This window comes from Homo sapiens, chromosome 2 (assembly GCF_000001405.40).
Source record: "Homo sapiens chromosome 2, GRCh38.p14 Primary Assembly".
Lineage (NCBI taxonomy): Eukaryota > Metazoa > Chordata > Mammalia > Primates > Hominidae > Homo > Homo sapiens.
Genome location: NC_000002.12, coordinates 210126807 through 210145848, shown reverse-complemented (window position 1 = coordinate 210145848; position 19042 = coordinate 210126807). Strand labels below are relative to the sequence as shown.

General features: G+C 35.1%; 1 protein-coding gene and 1 long non-coding RNA gene across 18 annotated transcripts in view; both read left to right on the top strand.

Moving 5' to 3' along the window:
• Positions 1-19042, top strand: part of KANSL1L (KAT8 regulatory NSL complex subunit 1 like) — a 151340-nt gene that overhangs the window by 26912 nt on the left and 105386 nt on the right. For all 17 annotated transcript variants that reach the window (XM_047443489.1, NM_001307976.2, NM_152519.4 and 14 more), the window contains exon 3: positions 16677-16818. In XM_047443489.1, coding sequence (XP_047299445.1) covers positions 16677-16818 — 142 coding nt within the window. The remainder of the gene's footprint in view (positions 1-16676; positions 16819-19042) is intronic.
• Positions 5681-15393, top strand: LOC107985977 (uncharacterized). The gene is made up of 2 exons (XR_001739866.3): positions 5681-7471; positions 8728-15393. It is a non-coding gene; the product is annotated as an uncharacterized LOC107985977 (long non-coding RNA).

The following is a 19042-nucleotide window of genomic DNA, read 5'->3' as shown; positions in this document are numbered from 1 at the left end:
CTGTCCCACTATGCATACTCTCACCTCAAACACAAGAACCATCATGGCTGTGGACTAGCCTCAACCCAAGCCTTGGAGCCCAGGTTGCTTTGCTATGAACATTGGCTGCATTGCTACTCTTTCAACATCTGTGCCTCAGACATCTGACATCTGACATCTTCACAATATACTAGACCACTCCTTGGACCCCAGAACCTTTGTAATTCCCTGTGTGCCCATGCCTCAGAAACAAGAACCACTGCCTTTATGGAATAATCTGTATCCTGCGCCCTGGAGCTGTGGTTTCTGTGTCTATGAAACTACTTCTACCACAGTGAGTGAGTCCATGCCTCAGACCCCAGAAACATTGTAGCTGTGTGTGTGCTGCTGCTTTGGATCTCAGCCCCCTGGCTGATCTAAAAGCAGTCACATCTTGCACATTGTTACTAACATGGGAATGGTGGAACCTGCACTCTGAATATGGGTGCCACCTCAGCCCTAGACCCTGGAGCCATGGTTCCTACACATGCTCATGCTCCAGAACCCAAATTGTTGGCTGTTTCATGGATGCCTCATATGAGATACCATTGCTGCCACCACTGCAAATGCACCTGCAAGTCAGACCCAGTGCCAAGAGGGATTCCACTGGCCACAACTTTCCTGGCAGGAGAAAAAGAGATGAGGAGGACCGACCCCACCAGTCTTCGTGACTGGAGCACCCAATAACCCTTGCCGCTGCTGTGGACAGTGGCTGCTGAGGATCCTTGTAATCTTTGACAGTGCTAACATCAGTTGATAGAGCTGTACAGAGATTATGCTGCTATGCCCTTACTGGAGTCAGAACTGTCACACTGCACCCAGCTGGTGTCCTCACACCCACCTGAAGGAGAAGTTTTTTTCTCCACTGAAACCAGTATATGAAGTCAGAAGGAGGTGACTGCTTCATCAACTATGCAGACATTAATGCAAAGTAACAAGCAACGTGAAAAGCCAAAGAATCATAAAACCACCAAAGAACATGATACTTTTCCAGGAACTAATCCTAAAGAAATAGAAGATCTATGAATATCTTGGCAGATAATTCAAAATGATTCTTTTAAGGTGGCTCAGTAAACTACCAGAGAACACAGAGGGGCAATTCAACAAAATCAGGAAAACAATACACAAATAAAATGAGGAGTTTAACAGAATGATTGAAATTATTTAAAAAAAGGTAACTAGGCAGAAATTCTGGAGCTGAATATAAACTGAACAAAGTGAAAAATGGCAATAGAGAGCATCAGAGCAGAATTGATCAAACAGAAGAAAGAATCTGTGAACTCAAATACAGGTTATTTGAAAATATCCAGTCAGAGAAGGAAAAATAATGAAAAGGAGTGAAGAAAGCCTGTGTGATTTATGGGATATCCTCAACAGAGCTAATGTTCACATTATAGCAATTAAGGAAGTAGAAGAGAGAAGGGGTAGAAAGTATTTTTAAAGAAATAATGATTGAAAACGTCACAAATCTGGGGAGAGATAGTCACATCGGGGTAAAGGAGAGTCAAAGTTCTCCAGTCATTTTCAAACCAAAGACCACACTACAACATATTATAGTCAAACTGTCAAAAATCACAGAGAGACTATTGAAAACAGCAAGAGAAAATCTTCACATACAAGGGAACCCTCAGGAAGTTATCTGCACATTTCTAAGCAGAAACTTAGTAGGCCAGGAAAGTGTGGGATGATATATTCAAAGTGCTGAAAATAAGAAAGAAACCTGCCAACCAAAAAACCAAACCCAGCAAAACTGTCCTTCAGAAAGGGAGAGAGAAGACTTTTCCAGACATACAAAATCTGAGAAAGTTCATCATCACTAGATCTGCCTTACAAGAAATGGTAAAGGGAATTCTTCAGGCTGAAAAGAAAAAGAATGCTAATTAGGAACATGAAAACATATGAAAGTGTAAAACTCACTGGTAATAGTCAATTCAGAATACTCTAATAATGGTGGTGTATAAATCACTTGTTTTTATTATAATTAAAAGACAAAGCTATTAAAATAATAGCTACAATAATTTGTCATAGGATGTACAATATGAAAAGATGTAAATTGTGATATCAAAAGCATAGAATAGGAGGAATAAAAGTATAGAGAGTTTGTATATGAGATTGAAGTTATTATCAGCTTGAAATAGACTCCTAATAACTATGAATTGTTCTTTCTTAAGCCTAATGGTAACCACAAAGCAAAAACCTATAGTAGATATACAAAAGATGAAGAGAAAGGAATCCAGGCATATAATTACAGAAAATCACCAAATCACAAAGGAAGACAGCAAGAGAGGAAGAAAGGAACAAAGGATCTGCATTAAAAACAAAACGAAAACAGAAAACAGTGAACACAAAGGCAATAATAAACCTTTACCTATCAACAATTGCCTCGGATATAAATGGATTAAATTATCCAATTTAAAAACATATATAGTCAGTGAATGGATTTTTTTTAAGACCCAGCTAGCTGTATGTGCCCTGTGAGAGACTCACTTCCAGTATAAGGACACACACAGACTAAAAGTGAAGGAATAAAATATGGTATTCCATGCAAATGGAAACCAAAAGAGAGCAGGGGTAGCTACATGTATATCAGAAAAAAAATGCACTTTAGGCCAAAACATGTAAAAAAAGACAAAAAGGTAAGTATATAATTGATAAAGAGGCCAGTTTATTAAGAGGATACTACATTATAAACATATGTAACCAATATCAGAGAATCTAAATATATAAAGCAAATATTAATAGATGTGAAGGAAAAAATAGACTGCAATACAATAATAGTAGGGGACTTTAATACCCCACTTTCAATAATGGATAAATCATCCAGACAAAATCAAAAGGAAGCATTGGGCTGGAACTATAGTTTAGGCCAAATGGACCTAACAGAGATATATAGAACATTCCATCCAACATTGTAATACACATTGTTTTCAAGTGTAAGGGAACATTCTTCAGGATTGATCATATGTTAGGCCACATGACAAATCTTAACCAAAATGATTGAAATCATATCAAGTATTTTTTCCAGCCAAAATCATATGAAATTAGAAATCAGTAACAGGAGGAATTTTGGAAAATTCACAAATATGTGGAAATCAAGAAAAGCCAATGGATTAATGACTAAATTTAAAGAGAAATTTTAAAATATCTTGAGAGAAATGAAAATGGAAACACAGTTTACAAAACTATGGGGTGCAGCAAAAGGAGTTCTAATAAGGAAATTTTGTAACAATAAACACCTACATTGAAAAAGTCATCTCAAACAACATTATACTTCAAGGAAGCAGAAAAAGAACAAACTAATCCCAAAATTAGTACAAGAAAGGAAATAATGAAGATCAAAGCAGAAGATATTAGAAAAACAATAGAAAAGATTGATGAAACCAAGAGTTGGTTTTTTTGAAAAGATAAGCAGAATTGACAAACCTTAGCTAGATTAAGAAATGAAAAAAGACCCAAATATATAACATCAGAAATGAAAAAGGAGACATTACAGCTGATACCACAGAAATATAATGGATCATAAGAGACTATTATGCAACATCTCTATGCCAACAAATTGGATAACCTAAAAATGTATAAATTCCTAGACACATAGAATCTAACATGAATCATGAAGAAATAGAAAATTGGAACTAACCAATAGCAAGTAAAGAGATTAAAACAGTAATAAAGTCCCCCATCAAAGGAAAGCCCAGCACCTGATGACTTCACTGTACTCAAACTCTTAAAAAAAAAATTGAAGAGGAGGAGGGAATACTTTCAAACTCATTTTATGAGACCAGCATTACTCTGATACCAAAGCCAGAGAAGGACACTATAAGAAAAAAAAAAAAAAAGATTATAGGCCAATGTCCTTTGTCACTATCCTTGCCAAAATACTAACAAACTGAATTAACTACACATTAAAAGGATCATTCACCACAGTCAAGTGGAATTTATCCCTGGGATGCAAGGATGGTTCCACATATACAAATCAATAAGTAGGATACACCACATTAACAGAATGAAGGACAAAAAACATTCTTAATACATTTGCAGAAGAAGGATTTGACAGAATTCAGACTCTCAACAGATTAGGTATCGAAGGAATGTACCTCTACCAATAAAGGCCATATATGATAAGCTCACAGTTAACATCCAATTTAGTGGCAAAAACTTGATACCTTTTCCTCGACCATTTCATCTGCTTGGGCTATTGTAAGAAAATACCTTAGACTCAGTAACTTATTAACAACAGAAATTATTTTACAGTCTGGAGGCTGGGAAGTCCAAGGCCAAGTTGTCAGCGGATTCAGTGTTAGGTGAGGGCTTGTTCTTTCCTTCATGTTGGCATCTTCTACCTCTGTTCTCACATGGTAGATAGGGAGAACAAGCTTCCTCAGGCCTCTTTTATAAGAGTATTAATCTCATGATAAAGGTGGAGCCTAATCACCTAATCATCTCCAAAGGCTCACCCTCTTAAGGCCATCACATTGGGAATTAGGTTTTAACATATGAATTTTGAGGACACAGTGTTCAGATGATACCACCTACTCTGACCAATCTATTCAACATATACTGGAATTGCTAGCCAGGTTCATTAGGCATAAAAATAAATAAATAAAAGAGAAAAAGGAAAGAAAAGAAAAAAGAAAAAGAGAAAGGGAGAGAAAGAAAAGAAAGAAAACAGAGAGGAGTGGGGAAGGGAAGGGAGGAAGGAAGGAGGGAGTGAGGGGAAGAGAGGAAAGAAAAGAAATTTTAAAAAAGTATCCAAATCAGGGAAAGAAGTTAAATTTTCTTTGCTGATGACATCTTAGAGATAAGAAAAGTGTAAAGACCCCATCAAAACAATGTTAGAAATAAATTAATTAGCGTTTCAGGATATAAAATCAATCTACAAAGATCTGTATTATTTCTATACACTAATATTAAGCTGTCCAAAAGAAAACCATCCTACTTAAAATGCTAACATACTTAGGAATAAATTTAACCATGGTGGTGAAAGATATGTACACCAACAACTAAACATGAATGAAAAAATGGAAAAAGAAACAAATGGAAAAACATCCTGTGTTCACGGATTGGAAGAGTTGTTAAAATGTCCATACAACCCAAAGCAATCTACAAATTCCATATCATTGTTATCAAAATTCCACTGGCATTTTCCATAGAAATGGGAAAAAATTCAAAAATTTATGTAAAACCAAGCAAGACCCCATGAGCCAAAGCAATCTTGAGCAAAAAGAACAAAGCTGGAGGCACCACATTACCTGACTTCAAAATACATTGAGAAAACTATAATAGTCAAAACAGCATGCCACTGGAATTAAAAACACACATATGCCTATGAAACAGAATAGAGAGCCTAGAAATAAATCCATGCATTTATGGCCAATTATTCTTTAATAAAGATGCCACGGGCACACAATGAGGAAGGGATAGTCTTTTCAACAGTGTTGGGAAAATGGGTTATCTACATATCAAAGGATGAAATTGGACCCTTATCTTACTCCTTATTCCCACATCAACTTAAGGTGATTAAAGACTTCAACATAAGACCTGAATAAAACAGAAAAAGCTTCTCGACATTGATGTTGGCAAATATTTTTTGGATATGCACTCCAAAGCACAGGTAACAAAAGCAAAAATAGACAAATGAAATTGCATCAAACTAAAAAGGTTTGACACAGCAAAAGAAACAGCAGAGTGAAGAGACAACCTATGAAATGGGAGAAAATATTTGCAAACTATACGTCTGAAAAGGGAGGATTTCCAAAGTACATATGGAAGTTAAATTACTCAATAGTAAGAAAACAAATAACCTGATTAAAAAATGGGCAAAGTGGCCAAGGAGGTGTAGCCCGGTGGATCGCTTGAGCTCAGGAATTTGAGACCAGCTTGGGTAACATGTCAAAACCTTGTCTTTACAAAAAAATACAAAAGTTAGCCAGGCATGGTGGTGTGCACCTGCAGTTCCAGCCACTCAGGAGACTGAGATGGGAAGATCACTCGAGCCCAGGAGGTTGAGGTTGCAGTGAGCCAAGATTGCGCCTCTGCACTCCAGCCTTGGTGACAGAAAGAGACCCTGTCTCAAAAAAAAAAAAAAAAAGGAAATGGGCAAAGGACCTGAATAGACAATTTCTTTTTCCAAAGAAGATATACAAATGGCCAACACATAGATGAGAAAGTGCTCAACATCACTAATCATCAGGGAAATACCAATTAAAACTATAATGAGATACCGTCTCACACCTGTTAAAATGGCTATTACAAGAAAAAGAATAACAAATGTTGGAGAGGATACAGATAAAAGGAAACTCTTGTACACTGTGGGAATGTAAACAAGCACAGATATTACAGAAAATAGTAAGGAGGTTTCTCTGGAAATTTAAAATAGAATTACCATATGACCCAATAATCCTACTTCTGGGTATATGTCAAAAGGAAATTAAATCAGTATGTTGAGTTGATACCTGCACTCTCATGTTGATACTCATTTACAGTGGCCAAAGTATGCAATCAAACTGACCATTGACAGATGAATGGATAAGGAAAATGTAGTGTGTGTAGGTATGGATGTCAGTTAGGAGGAATAAGTTCTGGAGATGGTCAGCATAGTGACTGTAGTTAATAATAACATACCGTGTTGAGTCCCTGACTTATGATGGCTCAACTTACAATTTTTCAACTTTAAGGTGAGTTTATTGAGACATAATTGAATGCATTTCTTTTTGTTTTGTTTTGTTTTGTTTTGAGATGGAGTCTTGCTTTGTTGCCCAGGCTGGAGTGCAGTGGTGCGATCTTGGCTCCCTGCAACCTCTACCTCCCAGGTTCGAGCAATCCTCCTGCCTCAGCCTCCCCAGTAGCTGGGATTACAGACACCTGCCACCACACCTGGCTATTTTTTGTATTTTTAGTAGAGGCGGGGTTTCGCCATGTTGTCCAGGCTGGTCTTGAACTCCTGACCTTAGGTGATCCATCTGCCTCAGCCTCCCAAAGTGATGGGAATACAGGTGTGAGCCACTGCACCTGGCCAATTCAATGCATTTCGACTTATGATATTTTCAATGTTGTTACCATAAAAAATGTTAAATGTTCCCACCATAGAAAAAGTATATGAGATGATGGATATGTTAATTAGCATGGTTTAATCTTATACAATGTGTACATATAGGACAGCATTGTGTTAATATATAAATATGTACACCATAAATATGTAATATTTTTGTCATTTGAATCTTAATAAAGCTAAAAAAGATTTTTAAAAAGCGTAAGTCCCAATGTTAAGCTTCCTTAGACAAATCTAAACACTGCAAATATTATTTCTAAAAGTTTTTTTTATAGAATTGATATCATTAACTTTTTTTAACACTGCCATCTTTTATTTTAGATTTACAGGGTATGTATGCAGGCTTGTTACATGTGTATATTCCATGATACTGAAGTTTGGGGTCTGATTGATCCCATTGTCCAGGTAGTGAGCATAATATACAATAGTTAGCTTTTCAACCCTTACCCACCCCCTTCCTCTCCCCTCCATTAGTCCCCAGTGTCTATCGTTGCCATCTTTATGTCTATGTTTACCCAATATTTAGCCCCCACTTATAAGTGAGAACATGCAGTATTTGGTTTTCTGTTTCTGTGATTAGCACTGTTTTTAAAAATAAAATAAATTTTCATAGTTGTAAAAAAAAAATCACAGCTCATGAAAATTTGTACTTTCGATGTAACATGCTTCTTGGATTCCAAAATGCACATTTTTATCACATTTTAATGTTTCTAATAGATGTACCTTATATAGATATGTACAATTTTTTTTTTGAGTCAGAGTCTTGCTCTGTTGCCCAGGGTGGAGTGCAGTGGCACAATGATGGCTCATTGCAGCCTCAACCTCCTGGGCTCAAGTGATTTTCTTAACTCAGCCTCCCAAGTATCTGGGACTACAGGTATGCACCACCATGCCTGGCTAATTTTTCTGTTTTTTGTAGAGACAGGTTTTTGCTGTGCTGCTTAGTCTGGTCTCAAACTCCTCAGCTCAAATGATCTGCCTGCCTCGGCCTACCAAAGTGCTGGTATTACAGGCATGAGCCACTGTGCCTGGCCAGATGTATAGAATTAATATTATATTATTTTCCCACCCCAGGGAATTATGTTATGAAATTGATTGTATTTAAATTTTATGGCATCTTTAGCACTGAGGAAATGCAATATTTCAAATTTATGCATGTAAGCATCAGGATCATTTAAAATAATATGTTGCATAATATATTTAAGATTGTCAGAAATATTTTTCATTTAATGTCTAGTAATATTTTAAAAATGTATGTAATTCATTCTGTTACAGCATTTTAAAATGTAAATTTGTGACGTATTTGGCATTTAGGGGAATGATGTCAATATAATGTAGATTTTTACACACTTTGTGTGTGTATCCACAATGTGGGTTGTTTCCAGATTACTTCAAACTTGTTAGCATTTTGAAATGATCAAGGTCAAGCTTTTCTCAACTAAAGAGGAATTCTTAGCAGTAGCTGAAGATCTAAACAAAATGCTAAAAGTCCTATAGAAATATCCTCCTGTAGCTCAGTAAGTTGCTGGTTTATTGGCTATACATTTTTCTGTGTTGACTAAGCTTTAAAGATATTTTGCTTGTGTTAAAAAGAAATTGACTAATGAAAAATGCTGTCTCTAGAAGATATTTTTAATTTTTATTAAACTGGTTTCTATTAGAACTAATGTCTTCAAGGATGCACATCAAAAAAAGAAGAGACCCAGGATATGAAGCTTTAAATGTGGACTGCTTTATTTTAGGTACAAATGCCAGTGGAAACTTTCCATTTTTATAATAATCATTATTGTTTTGTTAGGGCTCAGATTTAAAAGTTCCTTAGGTATTGTGTGGTCTGGCACTATCTTCACAATAAGTCTAACTATTTTTATTTTGCAGAACATGAGGTTATACAGAAGTGCATATATTGTGTTAGAGCAGGAATGCCTGTACTTGATTCTGGCTTAGTGGTAGTCATTTTTTTGATTAATAAAGGTAGTTTTAATTTTTATCCTATTTCTTTTCAGGGCCCATTATAGTGTTTCGCAGGCCCATTACTAACTCATTTGTGTGCATTAGGAAAAGATTTTCCTTCCACTGAGCAGATGTAGGTTTGTAATTGCAGGGTTTGGAGTACAGAACTCTTGCTGGATTTTACTTGCATCTTCATCCAGGCCCGTGTACAGTTCAGTTTGAAAACATTACATGGTTGCCTGGCTTCCTGAACAAAAGTGAGACATGCACACACATACACACAATGCTTATTGAACAGTGAAATTGTTTCTTTAGCAAATAAATGTTTTGATTAGTTTAACATTTATTTACAGTATTTCCCTTTTAAAAATATGTCCTTATTTGTCAATGTTTGATGTTACACAAAGATTTTACAAACATATTTAAGACTATTTTACAGGCTATAACTTTGAAAATTCTTTCCATACAAGAGAAGAGGCGTGGTAGCGATAGAATGCATAAATATTTCCCAATCTCTCCTTTTTTTTCTTTTTTTTCTTTGAGGGGTGGGAGGATAGATAATAAGAGAAGAAGACTAAATTTGCCCATCCCATATATGAATTATTTTTAATTAATACTGAAATTTTCAGTTTAGGCAGTTGACACTAGGTTCTGCCAGAGTTCTAGGCAGAATTGCATAAGATCTCAAGATGTGTTTACTCCATTTATTCTTCCTTTTTGGAACCCTTTTTAAGTTCCAACCTCAGATAGTCCTTGGACATCCTAAACTGCACTTTTTAATGTGGTTTATCTTCATGCCAGAATTTCTAGAGGTCACAACTGTATATTTATTTTTTTGTTTTTGTTTGTTGTTTACTTCATGAATGTGTGCATATATGTGTCTATATTGTGTGTGTACAACTTGATGATAGAGTATGTAAGTTATTAACTTGTATGTCAGTAAGGCTCATCTTAAAGACAATGAACATTTTAAATGAGAACTTGTTAGCCCAAATGATCCTAATAGCATGAAATATTTTCGAGGGAGGAATATGTTATTTAAGGTATATGTTAAGCTTTTATAACAAGGAGAAGTCAACATAAATATATAGAATTTATTTTTCTCTCATTTAACGGTCAAGAATTAGATATGCTTTACAGGGTTTAGCAGAGACCTTTTAGCTTTGCTGTTCCTTAGGATGCTGCCCTTGCCTGCATTGTTGAGAGTCACTGGTACTTCATTTCATTTCCATATTCAGTCATTTTTAATGATAAACCCAATCATTTATAATGGCCAGACCTAGAAGTTGTGCACATAATTTTGGCTCACGTTTTATTTTCAAGGACTTTGTTGTATAGTCAGACCTAACTGCAAGTAAGGCTGGGAAATAAGGTCTCTAAGCTGAGCTGCTGAGGGCTCAGCTGAAACCCAAGGAGCTCTATTATCCAAAAAGTATAGGAGGATGGATATTAGGGGAAAACAAGAAGTCTATTCAGTTTGCCTCTTTGGCTACCCAAATGTCCATGTACCTCTTTCTCATTCATAAAACATACCATCTTCTCAAGGATGATAACCCAAAGTCACATTCATTGGGTAAAGTCCTCTATATCGGGTTTCTGTGTGGTTCATCATGATGTGGTGACCAATAAACTAAGAGACAAGTTTCCTAATTTTCTTGACCTCTTGCTTCTTGTATGATGGTATAAAGGACAAGGAAAATTCCCAATGGGAAAAAAAAGAATGGGCCATATATGATAGTTCCTGTTCCTTACAATAATAGACTTCTTGCTCTGGCAGTGGAGTAAGGTCTTGCTAGGACCTTAATTTTGCTTTCTGAGATAAGCTCCCTTGTCATTTGTCCTTCATAGTCCCTGACCTTGCTCTTTGGGAATTACTCTTGGTCTATGATTCTTTGTGACTGTATCTAACATGGGTGTTAGTGTACTCTTATTGGAGACACCACTGCATTCTCACCCTGCTTTCTATTGGTGCAGATTTGGCTCCCAGGGATAGTCTTTGTTAGGCTTATGGTAGTATTTCCTAGTCGAGTTCCCTCCGAAATGTAGGTTTCCATTCTCTTTTTCTTCCTGTCAGTTATATGTGAAAATACCACAGCCAAAGATCTCATTTTGTCATAGTTGTTAAGCCTATGCACTTATTAATTTACTAGTTATTTTCCTCAGACTATCCACCTCTCCCTCAATTTGATAACTGCCTTAGTGTAGTGGCTACTCTACACATGCTCTAACAAAGCTTTAAAGTAAGCTGAAATTTATGAAGTTGAACAGCAAGTAATATAATAACCTGTCAGAACAGAATTCATCACTCTTTAAGGAAGACCACAAAATCCACACATTAACAACATAATCATAGTACCCTTAAAATATGTATTTATATAAAACCTACTAGACATGTGTGTATGTATGTGCACATGTGTGTATTCAACTATTAGGCATGCAAAGAAGCGGAGAAAAATTATTAATGGAAACTGATGTGGAAATGATAATGATCATGAAAGTAGTTGGCAAAGAGCTTAAAATATCTATTGTAAATATGCTCAAGGACTTAAAAGGAAAATGTGAACATAATGAAAGAAATTGAACATATAAAGAACCATTGAACGTTCAGAAGCTAAAAATATCTGAAATGTAAAACGACTTCAGCTAACAAGGGAATAGTCATTCAGAAGAAGTGGTTAATAAATAAAAATCACTGCTAACTTCTCACTAGAAGGTATGTAAGCCAGAAAAATGGAATGATATATTTAAAGTGCTGAAAGGTGGGGAAAAAAAGTCAGTCTAAAATTCTCTGCCCAGTGAAACATTTTAAAAAACAGAGACAAAATGACATTTCCAGATAAGCAAAAATAGAGAGAAGTTGTCAGTATACACGCACTAAAGAAATTTTAAAAGATGATCTTCAGGCTGAAGGAAAATCATACTGGGTAAAAACAGATTTACATAAAGGAAAAAAGAAATGTTAAGAAATGGTAAATATGTGGGTCTGAAATATGTAGAAATTAAATCACACATTTCCAAATAACTCGTGGATGAAGAAGTCACAAGAGAAACTATAAAATGTTTTGAACTGAATAATATTAGAAACATGACATATCAGAATTTGAGGGATGCAGCTACTAAATTACTGAAGCAATGCTGTATGGCTATACATGTTTGTATTAGGAAAGGAGAATAGTGTAGTCTGTGGTCTAAGTCTCCTACTTAAAAAGCAATAAAAATAATACTAAATTAAACCCAAAGCAAATAGAAGGAAAAGGTGATGATAAAGAGTGGATATTCACAGAATATAAAACATGAAAACAATGGAGAGAATTATAAACTTCTAGCAAGATTATTTAGAAGAATACTAATAGCAGGAAGAAGGAAAAATATCACTATAGATGTTCTGGCATTGTGGAATAATTGGGGGATACAAACCATTCTCTGTATTCCCAGGTTCTGTATCTGTGTATCAACTAACTATAAATGGAAATAGCCAAGAAAAATATAAAATAATGCAATAATAAAAAATATGAATTAAAAAGAGTATAATAACTTTGTATTATGTATTATAAGCAATATTTACATTGTATTAGATATTATAAGCAATCTAGAAATTAAAGTATACAATGGAGTGTATGTAGCTTATATGCACATGTACATCATTTTATATAAGGGACTTGACCATTTCCGCAGATTTTGGTATCCTCAGGGGGTCCTGGAACCAATCCTTATACTAAGGGATGACTGTATTATGAACAAGTACATGTCAATAAATTCAACAATTTAAGCTAAATAGGCTAATCGCTTAAAAGACACAAATGACCAAACTGACACAATGAGAAATAGAAAACCTGAAAAACCTTACGTTAAAAAGAAAAATTAATAATTATAAACTTTCCCACATAGAAAACTTGTGGCTCAGATGGCTTCACTGATTAATTTCATTGAAACTCAAGGAATAAACCATTCCAGTCCTACATAAATTCCTTCAGAAAATCAAGGAGGAGAGAAGACTTCTCGTTTTATGAGGGTAGCATTAGCTTGATTCCAAAACCAAATATGACAAGAGAACAGCAGATCCATATCTTCTTTGACTATAGATGCAAAGAAAAATCCTAAATGAAATAACAAATAGGGTCTAGCAAACAGTAAAAATTCATCATGACCAAATGAGTTCATACCAGGAGGTCAAAACAAAGATGTAAGTTTGTGATGTTGACAGTTAGTACCAAGAGAAATTGCATTCAAAACCACTTAAGTTTAAACAGCTTGTACTCATTTCTTTTAGCAAAAGTTAAGTGGTGGCTGCAAGCAAGCAAGGATGGGAATTGAAGTCATAATGCTACCTTTCTGGGGAATGAGTGATCTCTGTCACTGTCCAGGTGGTCTCCACTCACCAATGTCTTTGATCTTTACTAGAGATAGGGAACCCACATTATGGTCAGCATGTGGTGGTCTGTGATCAGTTTTGCACACTCTAGAAAGATTCAGGGAGTCAGTGGCAGACCAGGCTTATATGCTAACTGGGGAGTTGGGACACTCTGAGTATGCTGGTGCATTAGTTATATGCTATTTGGTTACACTGTAAGTTATGTAAACCATTAACATTGATTATATAAGTTGTTTACATAAAATGTTTGACTTTGGGGTATAACATGTTGATCTTGTTTGAGCAAGTTAGCCATATATTTATCTGTAACATCTTAATTATTAACAATCTTATTTTTTTTAGAAAAACATGTTTTCTAGGAAGCAAACATTTTTGTTTACCACTTATAAGCATAGCAAACATGTTTTATTCACTCCTGTTAAAATGTAGGATAAGTTACCCTCTACAGAAAATTTATTTCAGGCCGGGCTTTCTGGCTTATGCCTGTAATCCCAGCACTTTGGGAGGCCGAGGCGGGTAGATCACTTGAGGAAAGGAGTTGAAGCCCAGCTTAGCCAACGTAGTGAAACCCCGTGTCTACTAAAAATACAATTAACTGGGTGTGGTGGTACATGCCTGTAATCCCAGCTACTCAGGAGGCTGAGGGACAAGAATCCGTTGAACCTGGGAGGTGGAGGTTGCAATGAGGAGAGATCGCACCGCTGCACTCCAGCCTGGACGACACAGCAAAACTAAAAAAAAAAAAAAAGAAAATTTATTTCATATATCACAAAGCGTCCGATGCGATTTGGTTTACTTAAATTTAATCTGGTATTGCTATTTTTCTATATTAGTATAATTTAGTCTAGTATATGAACATCATAACAATGATTTTTGTAATCCTAACTTGAGTATCAGAATATCTTTACCAGAAGTACAATAATATGAGTTCTATGGCATTTTTTTCTGTTATATTTCATTATTCACTAATCATCAATATTATAGCCAAACCAAATTGCATATTATAGGGGAATTTTCCAACTGGAGCAAAACTTAAAGAATGTTTAAGATCATCTTTGATTGCCCTAAGCTCACTTCTATGCCATACTTCTGCAAGTCCTATCAACTTTAAAATGAACCTTGAATCCATTCTTTTATCTACATATCTTTGTCTCCCCTCTCCTTCCCAGTCAAAGCCATTTTTATATTCAGTGTTTTAGTCAGAATAGGCTATATTTAGAGTTACAAATTAGCATCCTAATCTCAATGGTTTCACACAGCAGAGGTGTACTGCGGCTTACATAAAGTCCAGTGTGATCTGGGCTATTCTCCTCCTCCATCTTGTAGCTATACTCTCTGCACTACTGGTTTTGAAGATCCTCAGGTGAACTGGAAATGACAATGTCACTTTTGCTTACAGCGCATTTGCTCAGAACTAGTCAAATGGCTCCAACATAAATGCATAAGCCTGGGAAGTGTAGGGCGGTACGTGAAATATTTAGAGATCACAATGATCTGTACTACACCCAGATTATTACAGATAACATCTTAGTTGTTTTCCTGACTTTTTTTTCATTTCCTACTGCAGTGCTTTCTCCACCTAGTAGCCAAAGTTCTTGAAAAAAAAAAAAAAATTGTTACCACCTTGCCAGTAGTTTCCACTTTGTTTTAAAATCCAAACATTTTATCCTCACCTGTGTAAAATGCTACGCGCTAGCATGCTTGCCTTCTCTGATTTTGTGATTGGCATTTAGTGTTGCTAACTGTTAACTATGAATAGTATATTTTGAATAGGTATTTTATTTTGTCCACAGTTAGGAAAATGTGATTTTTAAGTGTCAAATTTATGAAACCACAGTAATGACTATAAACAATAAATAATAATACCAAGAGAAATCCTAAATCATATGGTGTCTTTAATCACATTGTATGCAGTTAGAATCCTTAAAAACAGTGGCCTTTCAGAAACATTGATATAATGTAAAATCCTGTTATAATGAATAAATTCTATATAGCAAAGCCATAATAATTGTGTTCTGTTTATCTGACAGCAAATGATCTCTTAGAATAAATATTTTCTCTGTTTAAAGATTATTTGAAAGATATTCCATTATGGTCCAGTGCATTTTAAAAAATTAATAAACTATTTTTTAGAGCAGTTTTAGGTTCACAGCAAAACTGAATGGAAAGTACAAAGAGTTCCCACATATCCCCTGTTCCTACATGCTACAAATGCATAACCTTTCCCAGTGTTAATATCCCACAACAGAGTGGTGTATTTGTTACAATTGATGAACCTACATTAACACGTCATTGTCACCCAGAGATCATCATTTACATTAGGGTTCACTCTTGGCGTTCTACAGTCAGCGGGTTTTGACAATAAATGAATTTTTAGATAAGTTTTTTATAAAGTTTACATGTTGTCATTAAGTCATTGTTGTCCTACAGTTATATCTTCAGTTTCTGTCAGTTTTTTTTTTTTTTTGCAATCTGCATCTCCTAATTAAATATCACACACATATACCACCCGTAATCCCCAATAATTTTTCTCTAGCTGTAGTGCTCTTGCCAAATGACAAGAGGTACTAGGAGGAGCTAGGAATCAACCCTTATTTTTAAATATGCATGAAAGAAAGGCTTTATGTAAATTCTTTGTGATCTGTAGGTTGTGAATCCTAGGAATCAGGTTTTTAAGGAACAGTTTATCTTAAATATTTTAAGGTCTATATATTTGGTATGCTTATTTGAAATGTAGCAGAGCATTTATATTTTTTATAATTTTTGATAGCTTTTAAAAAATGATTTAAATAATTAGCTAATAACGATGCCTATTTTAACAAATAAAAATTACTTATAGTAAAATCGAATATGCTACAGTTTATTACATGGATTTAGATTTAGCACCATTCAAATGGATTGTCTGGTACTTGACATCTACTTACGTATAAAAGTTTTATGTAACAGTTTTTACATGGTGTTTGCATTGTCATTCATGTTTCCTTTTCTTTGCTGGTTTATCTCTGTTTAAGACCTTCTGCACTGATAAAGAATTGAATAGCAGAGGAATTATCCTACTACAGGGTATGTAATATTTAATGAAAACAGGTATTTGTGGGGTGGAAAGGTAGGAAAATTATATCTTTTTCTTTGATAAGAAGTCAATCTGCCATTCTCTCTTCCTGTAATTACATGTTGTAGAAAGGAAATTTGCTTTTATGATGGGAGTTAAGGAAGTTATTAAGCAGTGTTTGTGAAACTTGATTGCCTTTGTGCTTTGAGTAACAGTGTTTGTTTTGTTCACAGTAACTGTAGTACTGAATGGAAGTGGCTTGTAGACAGAGCACGAGTTGGCAGCCGATGGACTTGGCTTCAAGCTCAGATTTCAGACCTAGAATGCAAAATCCAACAACTAACAGACATTCACAGGCAAATTCGTGCCTCCAAGGTATTGTCTGTCTGTGTTCTTCTACTTTTGTTAAAAATTGTTAATGTTTTCATTCCTTCTCATTTGATCACAAAAATAATTGTTACAAGGTTTTATAAAAATGTAGCCAGTTTATGTTAAAATTTTTGATATATTATTATAAATTGAAGCTATTTTTGTAATGCCTTTTTGTATTTTAAGATCATTTTATCATACTTTTTGAGCAATTCAGAACTTCCTTATTGGATTCCAGTTAATATAAGTGATAAACGTGTTTTCAAATTTCTAAATCATAAAATACATAAAAACCTTAACATCTTAACCATTTTTGAGTGTATAGTTGTGTTATTAAATACATTTGTAATGTTGTGCATCTGTCGCTATCCATCTCCATAACTCTTTTTACCTTTTATAACTGAAGCTCTAAACCCATTAAATAATAACTGTCCACTTTCCTCTCTCCTCAACCCCTGGCAACTATGTCTGTCTCTTATGATTTTGACTATTTTAAGTACCTCATATGAGCAGAATCATAAGTTTTTGTCTTTTTGTGGCTAGCTTATTTCACTAGCATAATGTTCTCAAGTTTCATAAATATTGTAGCATATTAGAATTTCTTTCCTTTTTAAGACTAATAATTTATTGTATGTATATACCACATTTTGTTTATTCATTCATCCGTTGATGGACACTTGGGTTGCTTCCAGTTTTTAGCTATTGTGAGTATGCTATGAACATGGATATAAAAATATCTCTTTGAGACCCTGTTTTCAATTCTTTGGGGTAAACACCCACAAGTTGAATTGCTGGATCATATGGGAACTTTATTTTTAATTTTTTTGTGGATCTACCATACTGTTTTTCACAGTGGCTATACCAGTTAACATTCCCACCAGCAGTACACAAGGTTCAGATTTCTCCAGATTCTCGCTAACATTTATTTTCTGTTTATTTTATAGTAACCTCCCTAATGAGTGTGAGATGGTATCTTATTTTAGTTTTGATTTGCATTTGCCTAATGATTAATGATGTTGAACATCATTTCATGTGCTACTGGCTTGGCTTTTGGATATCTTCTTTGGAGAAGTACTTATTCAAGTCCTTTGCCCATTTTTGAATTGGGTTGCTTGCTTGTTTTTTTCTTGTTGCGTTTTAATTCAATATATAGTAGATATTAATTTCTTATCAGATATATGATTTATAAATATTTTTTCCTATTCTATGTGTTGCTTTTTTTTTTTTTTTTTTTTTTTGAGGCAGAGTCTTGTTCTGTCACCCAGGCTGGAGTGCAGTAGTGTGATCACTGCTCACTGCAGCCTTGACCTCCCGGGCTCAAGCAATCCTTCCACCTCAGACTCCCAAGTAGCTGAGACTAGAGGCTCGTGCCACCATGCCTGGCTAAGTTTTTGATTTTTTGTAGAGATGGGATCTCCCTCTATTGCCCAGGCTGGTCTCGAACTCCTAGACTTAAATGATCCCCTGATCTTGGCCTCTCAAAAAGTGCTGGTATGACAAATGTGAGCCCCTGTGCTCAGCCTTGTTCATTGCATTTTTACTCTGTTGATATTATCTTTTCCTGCCCAAATTTTCAAAATTTTTCTGAAGTCCCATTTGTCTACTTTTTCTTTTATTACCTGTGCCTTTGGTGTCATAGCTAAGAAATCATTGCTAAATCTAATGTCATGAAGCACTTACCCTATATTTCTTCTTAGAGTTTTATAGTTTTAGGTTTTACATTGAGAGCTTTGATCCGTTTTGTGTTAATTTTTGTGTGTGGTGTTAGGTAAGGGTCCAGTTTCATTTGTTTTCATTCAGATATTCAGTTTTACCTGGTTGAAAAGACTGTTTTTCCATTGAATGGCCTTGAAAAGTTTGTCAAAAAACATTTGACCATATATGTTAGGGTTTATTTCTGGGTTCTCTATTCTATCCCATTGGAATATAGGTCTGTCTTTATGCCAGTACCACATTGGGTTTTTTTGTTTTTGTTTTTAATTTCTTTTCTTCTTTTTTTTTAAAAAGAGACAGAGTTTCACTATATTCAAGACCAGGCTGGTCTTGAACTCCTGGGCTCAAGCCATCCTCTCACCTCAGCCTCCCAAAGTGCTAGGATTATAGGCATGAGCCACTATGCCTGGCCAGTATCACATTATTTTGATTTCTGTAGTTTTGTAATAATTTTTGAAATCAGGACGTGAGTCTTCCAGATTTGTTATTTATTTATATATATTTTTGAGACAGAGTC